This window comes from Homo sapiens, chromosome 12 (assembly GCF_000001405.40).
Source record: "Homo sapiens chromosome 12, GRCh38.p14 Primary Assembly".
NCBI lineage: Eukaryota > Metazoa > Chordata > Mammalia > Primates > Hominidae > Homo > Homo sapiens.
The window spans coordinates 34,162,035-34,169,630 of NC_000012.12; the positions used below are offsets into that span (position 1 = coordinate 34,162,035).

A 7,596-nucleotide genomic window follows, 5' to 3' on the forward strand; every position below is an offset into this window, starting at 1 on the left:
CAGCATGTACCCAAGGGCCTTTCCCCAACCTGGGCCATGTGCCCACTGCATCGATATACCTGTGCTTGCTCCCCTAGGACAGAGACTCCCTTTTCTTACAGTTGGAATGAGGGATGAGGAGATTTATTGGTATCCTGTACAGGTTGGATGTTAACCTGATGTGGTGCTCTTGGAGAAGCTTGCCTGAGTTAGGCACTTTCTCAGCACGTGGTGTGTGTGCTGTCCCTTCAAGCTGCAGAAGTCCCAGAAGGTAAGTGCTTCTGCAACCCCCATTTACTGGTGAGCAGGGGTCAGGTGACCTGCATCTGGCCAAGCAGCTGCTAAGTGGCCAAGAGGCTAGACCTGCATCTCACTTGCAGAGGCCCTGCCTGGCTGCTCTGAGAATCATTCTGCCTCCTCCTCCTCCTCCTCCTCCTCCTCCTCTTCCCTCCACAGCTCTCCTGGCTTCTATCCACAGCTGTGCTCCAGGTGGGGAACACCTATGGATGCACCAGGGTGCAGCTACTCAGACTGCAGCATGCAGAAGGGCCCGGGCTCTATGCTATTTCCATATCCAAGCCCAAGCTCATCTAGAGCTTCCACAAATCCAAGCCTCCGTGAATTCCCTGCAAGACCGAACTGAGCCCTACAACCCCCAACTACACTGGTTAGCTGCCAGTCCCAGCCCCTGCTCCCTCCTGGGCCCTTGTCTGTACAGTTCTGAAGTCCTGCAAGAATGTTGAGATCCTAAGCTGACTCTCACCCAAAGAGGTAAACAACCAGGGGCCTCCAGGTGAAGAGAACATACCCAGACAGGTTCTGCTGCCTGTAGGCTGGATGTCCTTCCCCCACAACATGCCATACTTGCCAGGCTGGAAGGGGGGCTCCAGAAACTTTGGAAACCTGGGCCTGTAGCTGGCATATGGAAAAGAGGCCTGGAAAAGCACCACTCCTGTGCCCCAGATGGAACCAGGTAATTAGGAAATACATGGGTACCAAGCCTGACCCCCCCACTCAGACCCAGGTGGGAACTGCAGCCGTGACTTGCCCCCTCTGCCACTCTGGCTGTACCACTACAGGAGGGAGGAACATCTGACCCCACATGTGAGTGGAGACGCTAGGTGTGGGCAGGTTCCAGTGGTTGCTGCAGCTGAACCTTCCCAAACAGATCCATGGGAAGCCATCTCAGATGGGTGCACACCTGGAGTGGGCAAGGACACCCCTCAGAGGGTGAGAGCCATTGAGGAGGGCTATTACAGAGGCCCCTTTGCCTGCTCTGAGAACAGGCTGGGGGAGTATGGTGGACCTCTCCCTCCTCCCAGCTGCTTCCAGGAGCCACTTCTTTCGAGATGAGGCACTCTCCTGCCAGCCTGTTCCCATTTGGCTGCAATAGGCCATTGCCAACATTCAGAGAAAAGAAAGGAGCCTCACCTCTTTTCTCTGACACATGTTAGGCAGGTGTATGTCCGGGGGTCCTGGGGTAGAACCTGTTCATCTGCCCACCCCCAGGCTATGCTGGCTTCATCTTTTCTGTGTGATGGGGGTGGGGTGGGAATTACCAAGAGGTCATCACACAGGCTGTGAACAAGTTCTACAAGAGCCAGGTAAAACAGCACTGTCCTGGCATGCTGCCCAGCACCCAGCTGACACACACATCTCTTATTTGAAGCTTCCCCAAAGCAGGCTTTGAAGTCCAGGCTCCCTGAGAAGCCTGGGAAGGAGACTCTGCCAGGCTAAAGGGCCTATCCCCAAAGGTGCCAGCCTCACCAGTCTCATCCTGACAATCTTATCTTTGCCCTGAAGTTTTGGAGTGGGGGATAGGGAGAGAGCAGACACTGCACATTAGCCACCTTTCCAGAGAGCATCAGCCATCCAGACTGGGGCAGGTCAGACCTCCACTCAGACGTTTTTCTCACTGGTTGCCGGTTGGGGGAAGCAGCACTTGTGAGCACCTGCCTGTCTCCTCAGATCCTGTTCAGAAACCCCATCTGTGCCTTTGGAGAGACTGCCCCCAGCACACAGGCCCAGCAACTGCCATCTATGGCCCCCAGGACCTAATCCCCTTCTACATAGGGTTCGATTCCTACCCACTAGTCCCTGCCAGATATCCCATGCCTATCTCATTAAGAGAATGAGGCCACACAAACACACCCAGGCCTTCATGGTGATGGAGTGGCTGGGGTCCTACTTGCCCACCCCTCATTGCTGGTTCAGAACCAGCTGTCTGACCACATCCCTACCCTGAGGTGGGACTTTGGGGACATTGTCCACCAGGGTCACTGACCACTTTTAAAGTTCCAGGAACAGAGGGCCAGCTGTTCCCCTGGAAGTTTGGTACATGGGATAAGCCAAGGCTTGCCTTCAGGAACAGGTTTTCTGCCACATAGCTGCCCAAGACCTAGGGCATCCCCAAGTTCGTGTGAAGCCTGCCTGCCATGTCCACAGCCCATGCTGACCCCTCCTGGAGCCACTGGAATGCTTGTTCCTGGGCATGTGATAAGCCCAGACAGCTTCAGCCTTGCAGGACAACTATGCACATCTGGCAGCAGTAGCCACAGGGCCTATAGAAAGAAGTTGGAGGTGAAACCAGATGCTATGAGAATACTTTATTAGGCAAAACCGCATACTATAAAAGTGCTTCAAAATGCAGCAGGAGGAGATGGGAAGACAAAAATGAACAAGTGCATAGTGACATATGGCTGTCAGAACACGGTAAAGAATCCACACTGCTTCCCCCCTTTACCCAGGAAAGGAAAGTTCTAGGCCACCTCCTCCTCAGCATACTCCTCAAACTTCTCGTTAGCTGTGGCATCCTGATATTGCTGATATTCCGACACAAGGTCGTTCACATTGCTCTCGGCCTCCGTGAAATCTGTCTCGTATGTGCCCTCACCCGTTTACCAGTGGAGGAAGGCCGTGCACCTGAACATTGCTGTAAACTGCTCTGAGACACGCTTAAAGGGTTCTTGGATGGCTGTGTTGTTTCCAATGAAAGTGGACGATGTTTTTAGCCCCTGGGGTGGGATGTCACAGACGGCTGTTTTTGTTATCGGGGAGCCAGTCAAAGTAGCTGTTCTTATTTTGAATGTTGAACATTTGTTCATCCACCTCCCTCATGGAGATGTGACCCCTGAAAATGGCTGCTGCCATTAGGTAATGGCCATGGCGGGGGTCACAGGTGTCCATCATATTCTTAGCATCAAACATCTGCTGGGTAAGGTAAGCTCAGCCACGGGCAGGGCCCTGTACTGCTGGCTGCCCTGGCTGGTCAGTGGGGCAAAGCCAGTCATGAAGAAATGCAGCTGGGGAAATGGGACCAAGTTCACCACCAGCTTCCACAGGTCAGCATTCAGCTGGCCTGGAAAGCACAGGCATGTGGTGACCCCACTCATGGTAGCAGACGCCAGGTGGTTCAGGTCACCATAGGTGGGTGTGGGCAGTTTTAGGGTAGTGGAACATATGTTGTATAGAGCTTCGTTATCTATGCAAAAGGTCTCATGGGCATTTTCTATGAGCTGGTGGACTGAGAGCACTGTAGGGCTCTACAACGATGTCTGACACCTTGGGCAAGGGTAGGACGCTGAATTTGTTTATGATCCTGTCTGGATACTCCTCCCGGATCTTACTAATGAGAAGGGTACCCATCCCAGACCCAGTCCCCCAACCCAGGAAGTGGGTCAGCTGGAAACCCTACAGGCAGTCACAGCTCTCAGACTCCTTTCTGACAATGTCCATCACTGACTCCATCAGTTCCGCGCCTTCTGTGTAGTGCCCCCTAGCCCAGTTGTTTCTGGCCCCACACTGACCTGTAAGACAGTACAGTCAGTCACTCAATGGCCAGGTATATGGTCATCAGTGGTCACCACAATGCAAAATGCTCCAAGTGTCACGTGTGAGGTGAGAGCACCATTCACCCTGCAGGTGGAGCAAATGAAACCCCCTACCCCAGAGTTACAGGACAGCAGCCTCCCCTGTTAGAAATTAGATCAGGAGCCAAACCTGAGACAGGCTAACAGACCTCACTGCAGGTGGCTCCTGCCCATTTCCAGAGAAGGCAGTAGCCACGGCCCCAGCTCAGCTGCCTACAGGGAGTTTACATCAGTAGCTCCTCACCTTGAGGAGACACCTGGGGGTTCCTCCCAAAGCCCGTTTAGGAGAGGCAGATTGAGCTAGTGGGAGGATAGGAGGGTGTTCAGTGGCCCTGGCTCCACAGTTCCCACAACGATGACCTTGGGGCACTCCTAGATTTTGAGCTACCCTGGCTAAGGAGCTGCACCCCAGTCCTCACCCGCAGCTCACCAAAGATGAAGTTGTCTGGCCTGAAGATCTGCCCCAAGGGCCCCGAGCGCACAGAGTCCATAGTGCCTGGCTCCAGATCCATGAACACAGTGCGGGGCACGTACCTGCCACCTGAGTGGGACCGGAGAGCATTAGCGAGGGGAGGGTCGCCGTTCCCAGGAGAGTGGTTGGGGAAGGACTGGGGTCTCACCGCTGGCCTCATTGTAGTACACGTTGATACGCTCCAGCTGCAGGTCACTGATCCCGTGGTAGGTGCCTGCGGAGTCGATGGCATGTTCATCAGAGTTCACCTCCCAGAACTGCAAGAGATTGGAGGGGCCAGACGAGCCAGGGCTGAGTCAGGAGGCCAGGACGCCGGAGGCGCCCCAGTCCCTCTCCCACCCCCACCCGCACCCCCATCCCTAGGCCGCAGTGTCCCTGAGGTCCACACTGGCCGTCTCGCCAGCCGGCCAGTTCCACCGCGTCCCCAGCAGGGAGCCCAGGGGCCGCAAACGCAGGGGCGCCACCCCTGCCACTGCCACTACCAACATCTTCTCTGGCCACCCGGCAGGCCCGAGCTGGGCCCTCAGAGCCCCGGCTGCCAACCTTGGCGCCGATCTGGTTCCCGCACTGCCCAGTCTGCGTGAACGCTATCTCCCTCATGGCCAAGGCAGGATTAGGGCGGCAGGAGAAACGCGAGGAGGAGCAGACGCGCAGTGACCCAGCCCGCCCTCCGCCAACGCTGAAATAGCCCCACGCCCACCTCCCTCAACCTCGGATTGGGCTCCCAGAATAAGCAACAGCTTTACTTCCTCACAGGTGTACCCACCTCTGAATCCCTTGGAGTTGAACGTCTGTTGGAGAGCTCAGGTGGCCTTGCTGTTGTCCTTTCCACGTTGGGGAAAGCTGGTCAGCTGGAGAACTTCCTCCCATGTCTTTAGTAGGACTAAATCCCTAGCTGAGCTGAAACTGAATGTTCCTCCCATGGGGGAGGGGAAGACTCTTGTTTCCATATTCACAGAGTGCCTTTGCACCTGTCCTAGATTGGTGACATATTTTTGTAATTGATGAGTCTTTTCATCTATTAGGAGATCTGTGGTTAGGAAAGGCCTTCCATATGTTAACTCAACAGGACTTAATTATAAGTTTAACTTTGGAGCAGTTCAAACCCTCAGTAAGCTATGGGGGTCAGAGATAGTCAGGCCTTTGATTTAGCTAGTCTTCTTTACAGTAGGATTAGCCCTTTCACCTTTCCAGAGGACTGCAGTCTCCAGGCAGAGTGAAAGTAATATTGGATTCTTAAAGCTGAGGATAGGTATTGGGATATGCCTACTGTGAAAGATGGGCCATTGCCACTTTGCAGGCTTTTAGATTACCCAAACTGAGGAATTATTTCTTCTGGTAAACATTTTTCAGATGGGTGGCGAATGCCTCGATCTAACCAGTGAAGGTATCAGTAAGCATTAGCAAATATTTGAATCTCCTGCAGAAAGGCATCTGAGTAAATTAGAGTTGCCAGTTCTAACCTGGATAGGTTCCTCAGTGTTAGGTTTAACTGGAGAAGGAGAAAATTGTTGGCCATTTGGGTCATGTCAGCACAGAGCTCACAGGACTGAGTCACCTGTTTTAGTGTCTTGAAAAGATTTACCCCCATAAACAAATGAGACATTAACAGAAACAAAAAATCCCTTCTAGGGTGAAAAGAATCATAAAAGTGCTGAATTATTTTCCTATGATTGGTACTTGGCGTTAGTAATTTATTACCATCATTCAGCCAGCCACAGGGGTCCTGGACTGAACTGCAAACCCTGGCCCATTTTTGTTCTTCTTCAGAGTATTCTGGCCCAGTTCTATGTATGCTGACCAGCACGCCCATAAGCTTCTTTGGCCCTTTCAGTGCAGGGGCCTTGGCTGTGGTGTCTACAAGGGCATTTCCTTTTACATGGTCAGTCTATCTTTTGAGGTCCTCTGCAATTAATTATAGTCATTTTTGGCAGCAAAGCAGCATTCTAACAAGCTCAAAATCTGAATGATGTTGTATGGAAAAGCCCTTGGAGGTCAGGAGTTCCTATCCATTCCAAATTGCAGCGTAAACATGAAGCACTAAAAAAATCATACTTGGAATCAGTGTAAATGTTAACTTTTAAATCCTTTCCCAACTGCAGGGGCCTAGTAAGTTCAATTAACTCAGCTTTTTGAGCTGAGGTAGAGACCAGCAATACTTGTGCCTTGATTCTCTTGTGCTGACTAATAATAGTATATCTAGTCCTTCTGTTTTCCTGATGCATAAAACAACTTGCATCTGTTAACCACTCTTCCTTGGGATGGTCAAGGGGCTCATCTCTCTTAAGTCTGGCCTCCTAGAATAAATTTGTTTTATAACCCGTGACATACTTTGGCTGTGTCCCCAGTCAAATCTTATCTTGAATTGTAGCTCCCATAACTCCCATATATCATGGGAGGGACCCAGTGGGAGGTAATTGAATTGGGGGATGGGTCTTTCCCATGCTGTTCTCATGACAGTGAATAAGCCTCATGAGATCTGATGGTTTTCATTTATTTATTTATTTTTGAGACATAGTCTTTCTCTGTTGCCCAGGCTGGAGTGCAGTAGCATGATCTTGGCTCACTGCAACCTCTGACTCCTGGGTTCAAGTGATTCTCCTGTCTCAGCCTCCCGAGTAGCTGGGATTACAGGCACCCACCACCACGCCTGGCTAATTTTTGTACTTTTAGTATAGACGGGGTTTCACCATGTTGGCCAGGCTGGTCTCAAAATCCTGACTCAGGTGATCCACTGCCTTGGCCTCCCAAAGCGATGGGATTACAGCTGATGGTTTTATAAAGGGGAATTTCCCTACACAAGCTCTTTTGCCTGCTGTCATGTAAGAGATGTGACTTTGCTCCTCATTTGCCTTCTGCCATGAGTGTGAGGCCCCCCAATCATGTGGAACTGTGAGTCAATTAAACCTCTTTTCTTTATAAATTACCCAGCCTCAGATATGTCTTTATTAGCAGCATGAGAATAGACTAATACAACCTGTATGCCAGAAAGGCTGGGAGCACCTGTGGACTCTGGCAGATAAGTAGCTGGGTTTATGGTTTGTCAGGCTTTAAAGGTTATGTCTGGAGTGTCTAGCAATAAGGCCTGATACTTTCATAAATATTCTCCTATTATCCACTGGTGACTTTTATCTTCCAGGACCACCTTCCCTTGGTGTGAGGTCAAAAACCTGTAGGTGCTGTCCTAATGTTAGTTTATTAGCTTTGCCTACTAGAAAAGTTGTATCAGCAATAGCTCTAAGACATCAAGGCCATCCTGAGGCCACCTGGTCTATC

At 51.5% G+C, this 7,596-nt stretch overlaps 1 pseudogene, besides 1 other annotated feature; it reads right to left on the reverse strand.

Moving 5' to 3' along the window:
• On the reverse strand, positions 2,739 to 4,920 carry TUBB8P4 (tubulin beta 8 class VIII pseudogene 4; annotated as a pseudogene).
• Positions 3,123 to 3,316: a silencer, noted in NCBI's record as "fragment chr12:34318092-34318285 (GRCh37/hg19 assembly coordinates)". NCBI's record gives its function as "represses an EF-1alpha promoter that drives an FKBP-Casp9 reporter gene in an ReSE screen in HepG2 liver carcinoma cells {active_cell/tissue: HepG2}" and the evidence as "EXISTENCE:reporter gene assay evidence [ECO:0000049][PMID:32094911]".